Here is a 19,721-nt window from a genome sequence, read left to right as displayed (position 1 = left end):
TGTCCTGGAGAAGCAAATTAAGGTACAAAATAAAGGGCAGTTTATAGATAATGCATCTCATTTCAATAGAACTTTTGAAATACTGAAATGTTTGGGAAAAAACTCAGGACGTTTAGAATAATTTATTACTATGTGTATGAAAACATACTAAGTTCCAATTATTCCTAATTAAAATAAATTAAAAATCAGTACCTTAATAATGTATTCAGGAAAATATCCTTTAATTTACTGAAGTTCAAGAAGAGTGTAAGAAAGATATAAGTATGAACTTTTCCCCTCAACATTTCTCTAATTCTGATTTGGTACAATAACATAGACAATCCTAGCTTAATACAGAAATGTGCCAGGCGCAGTGGCTCATGCCTGTAATCCCAGCACTTTGGGAGGCTGAGGTGGGTGGATCACCTGAGGTCAAGAGTTCAAGACCAGCCTGGCCAACATGGTGAAACCCCATCTCTACTAAAAATACAAAAAATTAGCCAGACATGGTGATGGGCACCTGTAATCCCAGCTACTTGGGAGGCTGAGGCAAGAGAATCACTTGAACCCAGGAGGCAGAGGTTGCAGTGAGCCGAGATCGCACCATTGCACTCCAGCTTGGGCGACAGAGAGAAACTCCGTCTCAAAAAACAAAAACAGAAACAAAAAAAGAAAGAAATGCATCCCCATTTCCCAATGAGTATCACAAGAGACAGGCTAGCATCTGCAGGCCCAGACTGCCAGGGTTGAAACTGTCTCTGCCATGTGTACCAACTGTGCAACAGTCGGCAAGTCAAGTTACTGCTCCTCAGAGCCTCATGAGGAAGTAGAACTAACAAGACTAATAACAGCCCTCATAGGAATGTCATGAAAATTAAATGAGTTAATACATGTAAAATGTTTGCAAAAGTGCCTAGCTCATAAGTAAACCCTCAATCAATGTTAGTTGTTGTTACTATTATAGTTATAATTATTAATCATCTTGGCTGTGAAATATGATTCACCATGAAAAGCCATTTATGATACTTAATTTGTTAGTAAATGCAATAGAGCAAAAATATAAAATAAAACCAAGGGTTAAAAGGTTCCTATGTCAGGAAAAGGCCTGACACAGCTGCTCACACCTGTAATCTTAGCACTTTGGGAGGCTGAGGAAGGAGGATGGCTTGAGGCCAGGAGTTTGAGACCAGCTTGGAAAACAAGATGAGACCCTGTCTCTACAAAAGATGTTCTGTTTGTTTGTTTGTTCGTTTTGAGACGGAGTCTTGCTCTGTCGCCAGGCTGGAGTGCAGTGGTGCGATCTCGGCTCACTGCAACCACCAACTCCCTCGGTCAAGTGATTCTCCTGCCTCAGCCTCCCGAGTGGCTGGGATTACAGGCGCATGATACCACGCCCAGCTAATTTTTGTATTTTTAGTAGAGACGGGGTTTCACCATGATGGCCAGGAGGGTCTTGATCTCCTGACCTTGTGATCCGCCTGCCTTGGCCTCCCAAAGTGCTGGGATTACAGGTGTGAGCCACAGCGCCCGGCCTACAAAAGCTGTTTTGAAAAATTAGCCCGGTGTGGTGGTGTGTGCCTGCAGCCCTACCTACTCAAGAGGCTGAGGTGGGAGAATCGCTTGAGCCGGGAGTTCCAGGCTGCAGTGAGCTATGATGCTGCCACTGCACTCCAGCTTGGGCCACAGAATGAGACTCTCTTTAAAAAAAAAAAAAAAAAAAGTTAAGGAAATCTGTTCTGTAACCAGTCCATTGACTCTACAACTCACTGGATCTCAAGTTCTCTAAGGACAAACACCACTTCCTATTCATATTTTTGCTCCCCAAATAGTAAGTCCGGTAAGAGAACATGTGCTCCTAAGTATTCACTGAATTAAATACTTTCTGTATAAGAAATTTTACATTATTCATTGTAAAGGTTGAAAATCAAATTAATTGGCAAGAATTATATCAAAGGTATCAACCATAAGCTTAGATGCCTCTGATTAAATATGAGATCACTATTTCCTATCATTCTCCCACATGGCAGCAATACAGAAGACTCCCATCACCCGGGAGGTAACATACATCTACCACTGCTACTGCCACTCCCACCATCACCTCAACTATCCCCGCCATCAGCACTCTTGACAAGGCATTTATTGGATGTACACTTAATAAATCAGCAAACATTGCTAATTTCAATACTGAAGTCAAGGGGAATCTCACTGACTCCTCAGACTAGCCTGTGGGGTAGATTATCATCTCCATTTTACAGATGGGGAAAGTGAGGCTTAGAGATGTTAAGTAATTTGGCCACAGTCACACAACTATGGGGCGGCCCAATTGGGATTAAAGGCCAAATATGTATCACCCCCAGGGTCCTTACTTAATGACTATCTACCTTTGAGTAAAACTTTAGAATTTCAATTTATACACTGGCTTTGTATAGTACAGCTATGACGAATTCCCAAAACTTTTTGAAGATTAACATGTATTATCTTGTGACTGTTAAATGCATCATTATCTTCTCTTTTGCTTGGAATCTTCATAACCGCAAAAAGATATAATCCTACTTCACCTTGACCACCAGGACATAAGACGATCCTTTGTAGCAAAAATGCCAACAGCCAAAGTTGTGAAATTTTGTCCCAGCAGTGTTTCATGGAAGACGTGGGAGTAGAGACATAGTGTGGCTGACCTGACTTAGAGGGGTTTCGCAAAGCAACCAGGGAGTGAAATAATCAGGAGTAATACGAATAAAATATGATAAACATGGCCAAGAAGTTAAATCCAAAAGGGAGCTCAAAGAATGGGAGTAGGAGATCACAACACTCTCAGCTCTCTGTGTTGTAAGAGCAGGATGGCAGAACACAAGAAAAGTCAATAGAGTATGGTAGATCCCTGTGACAACATGGCCTTAATGTGGCCATGGGTCCAAGCTACAGGAGCAGAATACACAGAGGCAAAAAATGAGAAATTATTTTTATGGCACATTTCTCTGATTGTAAGAACGCACATATGCAACTGTCATGAATACTGGCTGCCATTCCCTAATCCAGGTTACAGGTAAGGAACTGGTCAGTTGAGATAACAAAAGCTCCAGGTGCATAGGAAGAAGGCAGTAAAACGCACCAATGTCCCTCCCTATCAGATGGCTCAACATGCTGAAGTGTGTCGGAAGTGATTGAAGCGCACTTCCCCACTCTCCTGAAACACAGGCAAACCAGCTGTGTTGGATGCTGCAGTGGGCAAGTTCCTAAGCTTGCACATGCATTCAGACAAACAGGAAATGAGATGTCCAGAGCTGGCAGGTAAGAAAGCTCCTCTGGCAGTCCTTAACTCCTTGCTAGTAAGACTTTTCACTTCCTAGTAGAAGCAAGAGGATGTGCTGCCCCCATTTAAACTATGGAAGGAGTGGCCAGGAGAAGCCAGAGAAGGACTCCATGGATGCACTAGCCGTTCCTCCCCTCCCCCTCACCATGGTTTGCAGCGAATCCCCTGAGATAAGCACAAAAAACAGTGGCAGGCTGCAGGCACCACACATGCATGAATGAAGACAGTACAAAATGTGAGTCACCTCACTTAAAACAGAAGTGTTCCTTTGAAACACCACACAAATTGGGCATATGTAAATTAAGTCACTGGCCCAAAAGTTTACATTATTTAGCATATTACTGGTCTGTTTTTTATCCTATCCCCTTAAACTCCCTTCTCACCCTTCAAGCTCCCGGTTTGTAACTACTAAGTGCGTCTCCAGCTAAATCCTTGAACAATAATCCCTCTACCTTCACCCTAAAACTAGTTGTGACAAATCTGAATTCCAATAGATCAGATTTTTTTAGAGTGTTTTGCCTATATGTACCAACAGTAAGCATCTAGAATGAAAGAAAGACTAAGATATTGACCATTTCCACGATATTCCATTATCCCCAACATCACCATCATGCACACACTTATTATCTGCTATAGATTAATTACTTGCATTGTATTTCATATGTATATTCAAAAACATATTACAGAAAGTACAGAAAGGTACTATTCAACTCAAAGGAATAAAGTCTCAACAGGCCACGATTCTAGATTCGAGCAAGATACTCTGAAGGGTAAATAACATAAACAAGGGCTAATGGGGCCTGTCAATGACTAAAGCTTATGTATTACTATAACTATCAAGTATGAGAATATATTAAGTTTGCAAAACAAAACAAAAGATTCCACAAGCTAAGGAAATTCAAGTGATGTCAAATGAAAAAAGCAGAAAATACAGGCACAAAACTAGCACTGGGCCGGGCGTGGTGGCTCACGCCTGTAATCCCAGCACTTTGGGAGGCCGAGGCGGGCGGATCACAAGGTCAGGAGATCGAAACCATCCTGGCTAACACGGTGAAACCCCATCTCTACTGAAAATATAAAAAATTAGCCGGGTGCAGTAGCGGGCGCCTGTAGTCTCAGCTACTTGGGAGGCTGAGCCAGGAGAATGGCGCGAACCCGGGAGGCAGAGCTTGCAGTGAGCGGACATCGTGCCACTGCACTCCAGCCTGGGAGACAGAGCAACACTCCGTCTCAAAAAAAAAAAAAACTAGCACTGGTATCTAGAAAACTGACTAGAAAAAGGAAACAGAAATATTAGCTGTAATTATCTCTCTAGAATGGAAGAAAAACAGGTGACCCCATCTTATATTTTGCTTTTAGTTTTTTAATTTTTTGAGACAGGGTCTCTCTCTCTCTCTCTCTCTCTCTCTCTCTCTCTCTCTGTCACCGAGGCTACAGTGAAGTGGCAGTATCACAGCTCACTGCAGCCTGGACCTCCCGGGCTAGAGCCATCCTCCCACCTCAGCCTCCTGAGCAGCTGCGACGACAGGCACACCATCACACCCGACTAATTTTTTATATTTTTGTAGAGATGAGGGTCTTGCTATGTTGCCCAGGCTGGTCTCAAACTCCTGGGCTTAAGCGATCTGCCAACCTCAGCCTCCCAAAGTGTTGGGATTACAGGCATGAGCCACCGCACCCGGCCTATGTTGTTTTATTAATACAAAGTACATATAATGAACAGCCAGTTTGTGTTTTAATCCTGTTTAATCACTTTACTATCATTTTGCTACCACTTTACTACCATTATGCTGACAGCTGAGTTTCCTTTTAAAATGGTAGCATTGGCCTTAAAAAAAAATTAGGTCCAGATAACTATACTGTAGTCTGTGTAGAAGTATCGAAAGCTCTTTAATAATAATAGTCATAGCAACAGTAACAGCAAGCATTTACTGAGTAATTACTATGAGCCGGGCAATGCTCTAAGCACATCACGTGCTAATCTTCACCGAAGACATAAGTTCTGTTGTCCCATTTTGTAGGTAAGGAAACTGAAGCACAAGAAATGAAACAAGCTGACCGAGTGACAGAGCCAGATTCAAACGCAAGGGCCTAACTACCAGCCCCTGCTGTCTCTTATGCTGATGATTTTACCGTGCAGGGGGTTCAGGCTTTGAATAAGCTTAAAAATAATTAGACAAACTTTGGAGACTTAAAAAGCTTTTTATTAAACAGAAATTAAAACTGAAATGAAATTTTGTATTTAATAACAATTAGCTACAAGCCTGTTCAAGAAAGAGGATGTGTCCCTCTAATAATTAAAAATCCAATACCTTCCCATACAGGTGTTATCTACTTAACAAGTGAAGGGGCTGAGAGGAAGGTCAGAGTGACTAACAAAACCAGTCCTGAGGCCTTGACACCTGAGGACAGGTAAGTGATAAAAATGAAAATTAGGTAACTCCAAAAGGAAGAGCTAGAGATCCTCCCTAGATCGCTTTCCCTTCCTCTGTGAATCCTCACAGATCAAAGACAAAAAGCCTTCCAAGTAAAGGAATTTTGCCAGAAATTAACAAAAACTGACAGAAAAATCGCAGGAGGCAGGAATACTTTTACTGAAAATTACTCGGTGCAACAGGACATTACATCTCGAAATAAAGCAGTAAAGGTTCTGCTTCAGCTTTGCTTTTAATTCCCATCCAACAAACCCAGAAGCAGGCGTTGTCCTGATCCGAGATGAGCCAGGCAGGGCACAGTCACATCTCTGAGAGTGACTTGGACAGGATGATGATATTTAGATATGTGTTCCCTTACAGAGCTGTGTTTTGTAGCAATGTGCAGACGTTTAAGTTTTATTATCATATGGTTCACATTTTCAGGCTACAAAAAGTATATGCAATTAAACCCAATACATGTGTGAAAGTTTTAATAATAAAAAGAGATTCAAGACACAGTAGTTGTTTATAAAAAGCAAAACTTTTAATGTATGGGAAGCTGAACACTAAAGGGAAATTAACAAAAAATAAACAGCCAATGTAATATAAAAACATGAGTTAACTGAGGTCGTTAATGTCAGTTAAATGGCAAACAATCCATTACAACCAATGTTTAAACGTGTGTCAATTAAATATGAGCAGACAGCCTTGCAATTAGAGTTTAAAGATTTACTTTTACTTCTTCCAGATCCATATATTGTCTTTCAAACATGAGCACCTTCTCTGAATTAAAAAACCTTCCTTTACATTTTATACACAAACGCTAAGTACAAAAATGCTTGCTAACTATGTTTATCAATGCAGCGGATATTATCACATTGATTTTAGAAAGAAACATGCCAAAAAGTATTATCAATTTCAAGCATTTTGAGTGATTTTAACAGAATCACAACATTATATTCTCACTTCTCTTTACTTTTCTTCCAGGATTGCTGTCAATAAAAATGTAGCTGACCTTAAGAGTCACAGCCTGAAAGAATCTCAAAATGGTCTAGAGTATATGGAAGCTTTCTTTCTGTAAGAACTTTAAAAATATATAAAGCAATATTTAATAACCTACTTTTATTTGGAAATGAAGTCTTACTCTCAGTCTCTGTATGAAAATAAAGTACTGGCCAGGTGCAGTGGCTCTCACTTGTAATCCCAATACTTTGGGAGGCTGACATGAGTGGATTGCTTGAGTCCAGGAGTTCAAGACCAGCTTGGGCAACAGGGCAAAACCCCGTCTCAACAAAAAATACAAAACAATTAGCCAGATGTGGTGGTGCATGCATGCCCGTAGTCCCAACTACTCATGAGGCTGAGGTGGGAGGATCACCTGAGCCCAGGGAGGTTGAGGCTGCAGTGTGCCATGACTGCACCACTGCATTCCAGCCTGGGCAAAAGAGCGAGACCCTCTCTAAAAAAGGAAAAGGAAATGAAAGGAAAGAAAAGTAAGAAACTCCATTTAGACTCAGCTAAATGTTCTGATTCCAAATTTCACACTGAAGTTTCACCCACAACTGCACCCCACCCACTACCCCACACCCAGCACTTGTAGATTCCTGTGTTCCTCACTTTACTTTTGCTTTCTAGTAACACCAAGTCACTGTCATGAACCCTTCACATTTCACTATCAACTTCCTAGTAAGTCAGTAAACACCAAGCAGGTCCTAGGACATTTTCACTTATCCAGAACGCCCTTTTTTTCCCAGTATTCTGGTACCTTAAAAGAGCATGGCAAAGAGCACTGTGGGGCAGAAGGAAGGATCTGAAAATTCCATTCTGATGAGACATCTAGGTAGAAATGTGAAGAGGTCCAAGGAGAAGCTGGAAAGAGAATTAGTTCCAATGATTATTAAACTAATGCCCCTGCCATGGCTCCCTCATTCTGGAGCTGCACCGGACTGCTGTGGGAGCATGCCTTGCTGTGCTGTTTCCCATCTCCAAGGTTTGTCCTGATACCTCCTGGAGACGCTCAACGAATCCCCTCCGAACTCCAGCCACTGCCTGTCCACAACCAGGTGCAAGAAACCCAGCCAGAACCCCACCCTTCCCAACTTCCTGATCCCAAGAAATGGGGAGAGGTAAAAAAAATGATTGTTTTAATAAAATGAAGTTTTGAAGTGATTTGTAAACGGAAACAATAGTGCTAACAATATATGTAGATGGAAAGCAAACACAGGAATGAGAAAAGCAAGGTCAATCCTAACTGGCTGAGGGGTGCAGGAAATCGGGTAACTAGAAGGAACAAATTAACACAGCTGGTATAACCTGAACAGCTCAAGAACTGGAGACCACCAGACCAAAACCAGATTTAAATCAAGAGTTTGTAAAGCCAGAGCATCTGACCACCATCATCCCTCTTCCATTGTAGACACCAAACCAGAAACGAGTAGGGCTCACACGGATGAGGTGGTTTGTGAAATGGCCACACAGTACATTAACAGCAAGTACCGAACACTGAGACCCTAAGCCCCTCAGCCCAGCCCCGTAATGTCAGCAACCAGGCTTAGACTTCACCCACCATGTCCTCCAAGCAGAACACGACCAGTGTCTTCTCTGGAGAAAATAAACTACTCCTGAGCATATTTCACATATCAACATGAGGAAGTCCCCAGTGAAAAAGCTGGCTGATCACATGATAACCCCAAAGAAATGCCTACCTGTCCACATGCCCAGCTCACACAGGAGGCCTCCAACCAGCCTGTTTTTGTTGTTTGTTTGTTTTTTGAGACTGAGCCTCGCTCTGTCGCCCAGGCTGGAGTGTAGTGGTACAATCTCGGCTCACTGCAACCTCTGCCGCCTGGGTTCAAGCGATTCTCCTGTCTCAGCCTCTCGAGTAGCTGGGATTACAGGCGCCTGCCACCAAGCCTGGCTAAATTTTGTGTTTTTAGTAGAGATGGGGTGTCACCATCTTGGTCAGGCTGGTCTTGAACTCCTGACCTCATGATCCACCCATCTCAGCCTATGCTGGGATTACAGGCGTGAGCCACTGTGCCAGGCCTTTCTTTTTTTTCTTTTTTTTTTTTTGAGACAGGGTCTCACTCTGTTGCCCGGACTGGAGTGCAGTTGTGCAATCTCGGCTCACTGCAACCTCCACCTCCCAGGCTCAAGCCATTCTCCTGCCTCAGCCTCCAGAGTAGCTGGGATTACAGGCACGCACCACTACCAATCAGCCCTTTAATGCACCTCACTCTTAAATAGGAACAAAGATTCTCACACTTTTGAGGAAGCCTCCTGCCTAAAACAGATTGTAAAAAGTAAAAAGGGTAATTCAGAAGAAACAGATAATGCAAGGAATAGAAGAAACATTGTAAAAAATAATAACATGCTGCTTGAGAGAGGAAAAGTGATTGCATACAGGAAATAAAGAATGCTATTAAAAAAGGAACTATGTATAAAGAAAAACACTTTGAATTAAAAAATATAAAGAGAAAAACAAGATAATTTAACAGTCAGATTGGCAGATAGAGTCAAGGTTATCTCCCACGCAGAAAACAGTAACAGAAAAGAAAAATCAGTGAAGGAAAGAAAAGATCAATAAATCCAGTATATCCAACACCCAGGAGCACCAGAATAAGAAAGCAGATTAAGGGAGAGAAAGAAATTACCAAATAACTATATAAGATAATTGCCCCAAAATGAAGAACAGTACATACTTAGTGCCCAGCACAATGAAGTACAAAAAAAAAAAAAAAAGACCCATAGAGACACACAGCACTATTTCGGGCATCACAGGCGAAAACCCTAACAGTTTCCAGGATCACACAGAAAGAAAGGGCAACGTCACAATGGCATCTAATTTCTCCACAGCAACAGGAAACATCAGAAAGCAGTAATAGCAGAAGTCAGAAGCTTTTATCTTTTAATTCTTAGAGAAAATTATTTCCATGCAGGATTGCTATATGTAGTCAATCAATTTAAATATGAGGGTATATAGTAAAGGTGTTTTGAAACATGCAAGGTCTAAAAAATTTACCTCCCATTCACATTTTCTCAAGAAGCTACTGAAAGATGTGCGCAGTCAAAATGGTAAGTGATCTAGGAAACGGGAGATCCACACATGAGGCAAACAGAAGAGTCACAAAAAAAAAAAAAGAGACATCCCAGGAGATGGCTGTACACATCTATCTCCTGCGTTAACAACCACTCCAAATTGTGGTGAAGACTATGGAAATCCAGAAGGGATGTCTCTTAAGAAAAAATACTGGAGCTGAAAAACTTCTCTGGCAGGTATGACCGCATGAAGACTGCACTGCCCAGTTGTTGGAGGGCACAGGAAGGCCCAGTCAGATGTTCAAAGAAAAGCATGTGAAAAAAAAACGAGGTAATGAACTCCAAGCAAAACTAAGTTATTATAGTATTACAGTATAAGTATAGTATAATGCAATATTTAGCTTAGTGAACAAGAGTTAAGAAGACATAATAACATAAACAGTAATGCAGTCTTAACCAAAACCTGATGGGATTAGATGGGTAGGACATTGAAGAGTGGGAAAGACACAGTGTACAGCAAGCTACAATCCTCATCTAATAGGAAGCCAGTAAATGATGCCAAACTGAGGAATTTAAAAGATAATATATAGCAATGATTGCATGTATATGTACATTTCTAAAGAAATATACATGTAACAAGACAATTTCATTTGATTTTCATCATCTATAAATTCATCATACATTCCTAAATTTTGTCTATTTTTGAAAACTTAGATGACCTGGGTTACAGTTTATCCTAGGAGAAAAGGATATATGTGCCTTAACTCCTTTTTGTTTCTGAATGCTTAATTCTATATACTCGATGTGAAGAACGGCAGAGACTCTCCATTGCCTGATCCAGCTACCTAGGTGGTTAATAATCCCCTATGCTCTACTTCACTACCACCCCTCAAAAGAAAGACATCAATCATCCATCCTGCCCACAGGTCATGTGGACCTGGAGCAATCTTAGAGGAAGAGACTAAGTCAGTGCTTTCTAACAGTCACACCAGCACTGCTCACCCTCAGAAGTAGACAAGGGAGGACAGTGGCTACAAGTCTCAAGAAATGAAATACCTTTCCAGTTTTTGCTAAGTCATGAGTTAAACCAACAAAAACAGTGGCTTCACTTACCTGCCATGATTACACAGATGTTTATGCTACAATGTAAACAACAAAATAAACACTAACTAGATTTATCATGAAATTGTTTCTTCCAACAAGTGAAAATGACTTAATTTCTGTGACCCTCCCTAAAATAATAAAAGATTTTCCCTAAAAATATAAACCAGTATCTGTGTATTCTTCTGTATGTCAAGGGCTCTTCACTGCCTCAGGCTGAAATCTGAGCTCCTGGGTACATTGAAAGCTGCCAGCCTTTCCCCAGACTGCCGGGTTCCGGGCTGCTGCACGGGTCCCTCCACTGTCTCAAAGGCCGTCCCTCCACTCCAGGGATCCCTGCTCAGGCTCCTGCAGATCCTCAGCCACAACAGTGCAGGCGATTTTACACGGCACTGTCTACGAGTAGCCCTGCCACTAAACCGGACTCCTCCTACGGGAAAAGCACTGCGTGGTTTCATCTCTGTATCCCCAATGACTGGCACATTGACTGGCACACAGAAAGGAGCTCAATGATTCTTATTTTGTTTTGTTTTGTTTTGTTTTTGAGATGTAGGTTGGCTCTTGTCGCCCAGGCTGGAGTGCAATGGCATGATCTCGGCTCACTGCTACCTCCACCTCCCAGGTTCAGGCAATTCTCTTGCCTCAACCTCCTGAGTAGCTGGGATTACAGGCGCCCACCACCACGCCCGGCTAATTTTTGTATTTTTAGTAGAGATGGGGTTTCATTGTGTGGGCCGGGGTGGTCTCGAACTCCTGACCGCAGGTGATCTACCCACCTCGGCCTACCAAATTGCTGGGATTACAGGTGTGAGCCATCACGCCCGACCTTCAATGATTCTTTTCCACATATACTTAGCAAATTACAATGACACTATGACTACGGATCTAAGCATTACAAAAAATTTTAATGAATGTTTAATGGCAAATGCTAAATTTTTACATATACTTTCCTTAAAGTCTTTTAACTTAGGTGGCAAAAAAGGAAAGGCCACATTACAATCAATGTTTAAATGGAAGGACCAGGCTGGGTGTGGTGGCTCATGCCTGTAATCTTAACACTTTGGGAAGCCGAGCCATAGCCAAGCTATGATCACGCCACTGCACTCCAGCCTGGGTAAAAGAGTGAGACCCTGTCTCAAAAAATAAAAATAATTTTAAAAAAGGAAGGAACAGGCCAGGTGCAGTGGCCCATGCCTGTAATCCCAGCACTTTGGGAGGCCGAGGTGGGCGGATCAAGAGGTCAAGAGATAGAGATCATCCTGGCCAATGTGGTGAAACCCCGTCTCTACTAAAAATACAAAAATTACCTGGGCATGGTGATGCACGCCTGCAGTCCCAGCTCCTCAGGAGGCTGGGGTAGGAGAATCGCTTGAACCTGGGAGGCGGAGGTTGCAATGGGCTGAGATGGAGCCACTGCACTCCAGCCTGGCGACAGAGCGAGACTTTGTCTCAAAAAAAAAAAACAGCAACAGCTGATTCAAATAATTCATGTTTATATTTCATGCAAATCACTAATGTCCCTGGACCACTGCCAAGCTCAAATTCAGGTAGATCAAGTAGTAATTTCCAATACTCCCACAGCAGCAAGGAATATAAACAGCATTGTCCTGTCCTCCCAAACTCATCACTGGGGCAGGTAATTTCTCCCCATGGCAGGATATGAAGAGTTTAAAGCTGAGTCAGTTCACCTAACACCATATTCTGAATAAGGAAAACAAGATTCACTGGAACCTGACCTAGAAAGGTAAGTTTCCACCTAGGCATCTCAGCAGTTACTTTAGATTTGTACTGTATTACATGCACAATATATATATTCTTTGCAAGGTTGAGATCCTTGTCAACTGAGAACTTTCAAATGACTCTGTCACCTGGTAAGTATAGAAACAGTAATAACAGAACTGCAAAACAGAAAAGTTCTTAAATCACAATCTGGAAACTTTATCAGCACTACTAGCGCTTTCAGGATACTTCACTTTACAGAAACATAAGCACTGACGACACATTTAAATCTTTTATTCATTAAGCAATTCAATAGCATTAAAATGGATTTATCAGCCTTAACTGAAAAAATGTAAATGTATTATCATATACATTTGAGTCAGCAGCCATCTGGATAGAAAATGGAGAGAAATTTGGAACAAATGGAATAACATACTTTGATTCTGCTATATTGAAGGCTAAAAGAGTATGTGGCTAGAAAAAGTAATATATCACATTTAAATATAGTCTACTGGAAAGTAAAGTTTATGGTAATTCTTTTTACACTAATAAAACCCCAAATTATATTCTCTTTTGAATCATACTAACAAAGATACTCTACCATGAAACTAAATGAGATTTTAAGTAAAGACCCACCTAACAAAACAACATACTAAAAATAACTTCTGTATAACGACACAAAACAGTCTCTAATAATTTATATCACACAAGAACAAAGGTTTTCATGGTGATGAGATGGATTCTACACTGTATAAAGGGACTTCCATATGTTTATTCAACAAAACTCAAGGAAGATACACAAATTCTGTCCATAACAGCTATGAAGAAATCAAAATCCTGTTTCCCTTTTGTTAGATTCTATTCTCCTAATATTCATTCCTGTCACAGGGACTGCATTTATTTCCCCCTTAAAAAATAGAAATAAAAATCTGGACAAGATCTGTGGTGCAATCATTTTCAAAACACTGACCATCAACAAGGATCTTGGTCCCTGAGAGATGGGAAACAAACCAGGTGAACCCTCTGACTGCCCCAGCAAACTGCCTGGAACACATTTCCAGGCCAAGGTGCTGGGAGCAGAAACCAGGCAGAGTCTGGAAATGGAGCTGGGAATCAGAGGTCAATAAGAGGATGGTGTTTTCAGGGAAGCGTAAGAGACAGGGAAAGCCACCCAACAAGAACGCTCCTGGTATTGGCAGTCTTCCCTCCCATACTCGGCAGAGTCACGTTCAGCCTGTGTGTGTGAAGAAACCACGTGAGGATGGGGAAAGAAGCACCCAAAAGGATTAGAAGAAGAATCCTCAGGGCTCACACAGAAGAGTTCCTGCTCCCACCCGCCAGAGAGGGAAAACCACGCAGAGCCCTTGGGAGGAATCTGCCCGAAAAGTGGGCAGAATCAGTGCAGACCCTGCTTACCCTGTCCCACCTCCCAAAGCTTAAAGTAAGACCCAAAAGGATCAAGCTGTTTCCAAGTAATATGCCTGGGTCCCAGACTAAAGTTCAAGGATGTTTATAGGAATAAAAAGAAAGATACCCAGTCATCAACAAGGTAAAATTCACAATGTCTGGCACACAATAAAAATTACCAGAAAGCAAAGAAGCAAACAAAAACAAAAGCAAACAAAAACAAAAGACCCCAAATGAAGAGAAAAATCAGTCAATTGAAATGTACACAGAACAACAAAGACAATGGAACTGAAAGTCAACAATATTAAATTAGTGTAACTATATTCCACATGTTCAAAAAATATAGAAAAAATGTGCATCTTAAGGTAGAGATATGGAAACCAAATCAAATAACCCAAATTGAACTTCTAAAGCTATAAACTTTAATGATGCATGTAAAAAATACATTTTCACTTTTTCACTGGATAGATTTAATGGTAATTTTTAAATGAAAACGAATAAGCCTGAAATTGAAGACACAGCCCACAAAGGAAAAATAAAACACAAAGAGAAAGAGACTTCAGGGTAGGTCTAATATATATATTTAGTTAGAGCTGCTGTTTAAAAAAAAAAAAAAAGAGGAGACAGGATAAATATCTGAAGAAAAAAACTGACTTGAATTTTTTCCAAATTTGATAAAAACTGTAAATCTACAGATATGAAAGTCAATAAAACACAACCAAAAGACACACAAAGAAAACCACACCAGTCCCATCATAATTAAATTTCTTAAAACCAAGGAGAGAGAAAAATCTTTTTTTTTTTTTTTTTGTAAATATGTATTACATCCCTAGAAAAAGAATTCCAGGATTTTCCCTGCTGTGTGTTTTCATCTTGCTTCCTTATGGTCCATGATGCCAGCCGAGGTTGTCAGTGCAATGAAACCAAACTGGCAGGATGGAAGCAGATTATTCTGCCATTTTTCTAGATCTTTGAGTTGCACATCAAATCTGAGGCTGATCACTCCACACTTGTTTAGCCCGCCTGTGAGGTTCACAACAATTTTCCCAGCTCTGTGATCATCAATGATTTCAAATTTGCCAATGTAACTGAGTTAGGAGTTTTTCCTGCCGATGGGTTTGTGGTCTCGCTAACTTTGATGAATGAAGCTGCGGACCTTCACGGTGAGTGTTACAGCTTAAAAAGAGTCCACGGACCAGGAGAGTGAGCAGCAGCGCAGTTTACTGAACAAAGTGAAAGGAAAGCTTCCACGTGGTGGAAGGGGACCCAGAAGGGTTGCCGTTGCTGGCTCGGGTGACTAGGGCTTATATCCCTGTGTTACCCTCTCCCCTTTCTTTCTTTTTGTCCACTGAGAGTGGTTCTTTTTTCAATCCTCCCTTGGAGTGGTTAATTTTGAATCCTTCACTCGACTGGTTAAGAACTCAAAATCCTGAGTCACCGGGGTCTCTTGCAAAAGTCCCCCGGCCCAGGAAGTCCCCCCAACTCCACCCCGCATAATCCGTGCTGCATCATCACAGTGAGAAACGGGCAATGACCTTGGAGCACAGCTTAAAAAGCACCTAGCGTTTGCCTCTTTTCGGCATTGTTGATGCTCTTGAGAATGTCAGCCAGGACATCCGTGTGCACTGTCAGGCCTCTGAGCCCAAGTTAAGCCGTCATATCCCCTGTGACCTGCACATATACATCCAGATGGCCTGAAGCAACTGAAGATTCACAAAAGTGAAAATAGCCAGTTCCTGCCTTAACTGATGCCATTCCACCATTGTGATTTGTTCCTGCCCCACCCTGACTGATCAATTGACTTTGTGACAATACACCCCCTCCCAGCCCTTGCGCTTATGTACTTTATGATATTCCCCCGTCCTTGTGAATGTACTTTGTACGATACACCCGCTCCACCCTTGAGAAGGTACTTTGTAAGATCCTCCCCCTGCCCACAAAAAAACTGCTCCCAACTCCACCGCCTATCACAAACCTATAAGAACTAATGATAATCCCATCACCCTTTGCTGACTCTTCGGACTCAGCCCGCCTGCACCCAGGTGAAATAAAAAAGCTTTACTGTTCACGTAAAGCTTGCCTGGTGGTCTCTTCACATGGACGCTCGTGACATGCACCACTGTGGTGGCATGGAAAGATGGGGGGAAGAGGAGAAAAATCTTAAAAGGAGTCAGAAAAAAACACATTACATCAAGAACAATAAAATTAAAAAGACTTCTTGCCAAAACAATGAAAGCCAGAAGACAGTGGACCAGTATCTTTAAGGAACTGAAAAAAAAAAAAAAAAAGAAAAAAAAAATACAGTCAAACTAAAATTCTATATCCGGTGGAAAAAAATGTCTTTTGAAAATGAGGCAGTTTCGCACCAAAAGCACAAGTGATTTTTAAAAATGGTAAAGTTGGACTTCAGCAAAATTAAAGGTATTTTTTTGCTTCAAAAGACACCTTTTAAGCAAGTGAAAAGATAAACCACAGCCTGTGAGAAAATATCTGCAAATCATATATATGATAAAAGATGCATATCCATGATATATAAAGAACCCTTAAAACTCAAGACAAAACTCCTCCAATTTTAAAATGGGCAAAATATTTGAATAGACATTTCACCAAAAAGGGTGTATAAATGGCCAATGCACACATTAAAAGATGCACATCATTGATTACTAGGAAAATGCAAATTAAAACCCCAGTCACATCCACAAAAATGGCCACGATGCAAAAGACAAAAGATAAGTGCTGGTGAGGTGTGGAGAGGAACACCGCTTATAAGAATGTAAAATGGTTCAGTCATTTGGAAAACAGTGTGGCAGTTTCTTCAAATGTTACACAAAAATCACACACCCCCAGCAGATTCCACTTCTAAGTATCTACTGAAGAGAACTGAAAATATGTCTACAGAAAGACCTACACATGACTGTTCCTGGCAGAACTATTCAAAATAGCTGAAAAGTGGAAAGAACCCAAATGGCCATCAAATGGTAGATAAAATAAATATGTGTAGTGGTGTTTATAAAATATTGAGATACTGAATGTATGACAACAACAGCAAAAAGGCAGAGAAGGGAGAGACAGTGTGTGCTGCTGTAAAGTTCATATACTGCATGTGAAGGATGTAATGGAACTTGAAAGTAAGTTCTGATAAGTGAAAGCATATATTTTAGTAGCAGCTAAAACAATTTAACAAACAGCTAATAAATTCTATTGTTCCATGTGATGCTTCTCACTGAGTTAAAACAACTCTGCCAGTATCTAAGAAAAAGTAAAGATTTTTCTATGCCTACACTTGGATTTTTAATTATCTGAATTTCATTAATATAAAATATGTCTTGTGTGAAGAAGATGTCAGAGAGTACATGTGGGGGTTTTTGGTTCTGCGTTATGTTTTCAAGGAACAATTTAACCTTTCTCTTCTTCTCCAATCTTAAACAAAATTACAACAGTTTCCTCTTTACCTCTACACAATTGGCTTTTCAGGTACATTAACCAAACAAGATTATTTCTTATTTATCATTCAATGTGTTTTAAATGTTGGTTTGCTGCAAAAAGAAGAGTCAATAATGCTTCCCTTGCAAGAAACTAAGTAAGAGAAATGATTCTGGTACTCACGTGGTTTTGTTATTACAAGGTTTATAAAGATAAAGCTCCCAAAATAATCTACGTGTTTTAAAAATCCTGAACTGTAGGCAATCTGAACTTGTTTAAATTGCACATCTTTATTCAGGCTATTAAAAAAATAAAATGTACACAGATATAAATGAAATATAAATAGTAAAAACTCAAAATCCAAAACTAAACTACAGTTTTCACTTCATTTCTTCCCTAGTCTCTCTCTTTCTCTCTCCTAAAATCCTGGGCATTGTCAGACCTGAATGAATAATGTTTTCAAGTCAGATGCCCTTTGGGAAATCACACCTAAATTAGCCTAGCAAAATGTTGTAGAAAACCATTCCACAAGGAAAAAGTTTTCAGACAAAGAGAGAACTTCTATTCAGGTCACATAAAATCTAACCTGAACAATCAAGAGGTTTTGAAGAAGGAAAAACCACAATCAGAATGATATATGCCAATAAATGTCTTTGAGGAAATTTTTAAATAAATTCGGTAAATATTGAAATAAATTGGTAAGTCAAACTGAACCAAAAATAAGTGGGGGCAGGGACACAGTGGGGGCGTTGCCTGTGGTTCCATCTTTCAAGACAAACAAATCAAGTCTCAGTTCTCCTGAGAGCAGGAAGGATTTGGAGGGCTAAAAAGTAAACTAATATAGAATTTTCTTTTATTTATTTCATTTGCCTCCAACTCCCATCTGATATGGAAATTCTGTGATGCTTAAAAACTAAGTTCTGTTTAAACCAATAACCAAAAATGTTTTTCATTGCATAGCAGTAAAAGACATGCAGAAGATGAGCAGCTTAGAAACTCACAAGTAAAATAACCCTACATATGCTATTAAAATGCATTAAAAAGTAATTTATAGCAAACGATATGGCACAGAATTTGAGAATCAGAAGGGCTGTCAAAGATCATTTATTAACAGTTACTGCTTCATGATAGGAACTTATAAACTACGTATGCGTACACCAGCACAGTTCTAAAGAACTCGCTGTTACCAAAAAATAAAAAAAAAGGTTCTATAATCTGTGCTGTCCAATATGAGCCAACATGACTGCCACATGTAGCTATTTAGATTTCTAAAATTTGTTAAAATAAAATAAATGTACAATTCAGTCCCTTAATTACTAGCCAGTTTTTGAGTGCACAATACCCACAAGTAGCTAGTGCCTACTGTACTGCACGGCACAAAGTCTTAGGCTTTTGCTTATATGATGTGAGACTATTAGTCTGTTATACATAGTCTATACTCTGTAAACTACTATATATGGTTTTATATAATACAATGAGAAACATACTAAACTACCATGTGTTAACTATCCTCAACAGCACTATTAACAGATACCAACCAAAGTATCACTTGAAATGACTTTTTAACTTTATTTCTTTCAATAAAATCAAAATACAAAGAAACTGAAAGTTTAAAATGTCTTTTTACTGGAAAATTTTAAGCAAAATTCTAAAAAGTGACCACCTTTTTGGTGGTTGGTTTGTTAGCACATGGCTTGTTTTAAAGAGGAACATCAGAACTGTAATCAGTCTGATTTCTAAGTCCTGCAGGTCTCTCTGGCTGGAAAAGACTGACACCTGAATCCCACATATTACCAAGGGGAGAATGAGGGTTTAACTGAAAAGGTGAGACAGAAACGAAGCCTCCTATTTTAATCAATAATAATGGAAAAGCATTACGTGCTTATGGTTCTGATTTCAAACCATGCTATCCAAATTTATGTTCACATGCTTACTAAATGTTCATCTTCCACTGGTAACTAAAGAAAAATCCTTCATCAACGTGACACAATCCAATTAAAATAAATATTCTTAATAAAGTAGATCTGTGCAATTTTACACTCAGAAAAGCAAAAGCTGTGGGCACAGGGGAAGGGATAAAGTGGACAGCTCGTCCAGCCCTCAGCACAGGTGCCACCATGCAACCACTGGACACCCCTGGGCCTTTGGCTGGCCCCAATCCCTGCCCCACAGCTAAATAAGGTCACAAGCCTAGACCATTTGCTTTATTTCTGATTGTCCACTCCTGACACTGTTTGAGAACGACTATTGTGACTAAGTATACATTAACTAAAATTCCTTCCAGAATTATGTCTTGTAATTTTCATTTGAGAATTCTGGGGGAATCT

General features: G+C 40.3%; 1 protein-coding gene across 35 annotated transcripts in view; it reads right to left on the bottom strand.

Moving 5' to 3' along the window:
• Positions 1–19,721, bottom strand: part of ARID1B (AT-rich interaction domain 1B) — a 434,754-nt gene that overhangs the window by 218,907 nt on the left and 196,126 nt on the right. The window contains exon 5 of one of the 35 annotated variants that reach the window (NM_001438491.1): positions 6,229–7,575. The exons of the other annotated variants lie outside the window; for them this stretch is intronic. Within the exon in view, the coding sequence (NP_001425420.1) occupies positions 7,543–7,575 (33 nt within the window). The 3' untranslated portion in view covers positions 6,229–7,542. Of the gene's footprint in view, positions 1–6,228; positions 7,576–19,721 lie in introns of those variants that run through there. 35 annotated transcript variants of the gene reach the window in all.

The sequence above is a fragment of the Homo sapiens genome, chromosome 6 (assembly GCF_000001405.40).
Source record: "Homo sapiens chromosome 6, GRCh38.p14 Primary Assembly".
NCBI lineage: Eukaryota > Metazoa > Chordata > Mammalia > Primates > Hominidae > Homo > Homo sapiens.
This window is presented reverse-complemented; position numbering and strand designations above follow the sequence as displayed.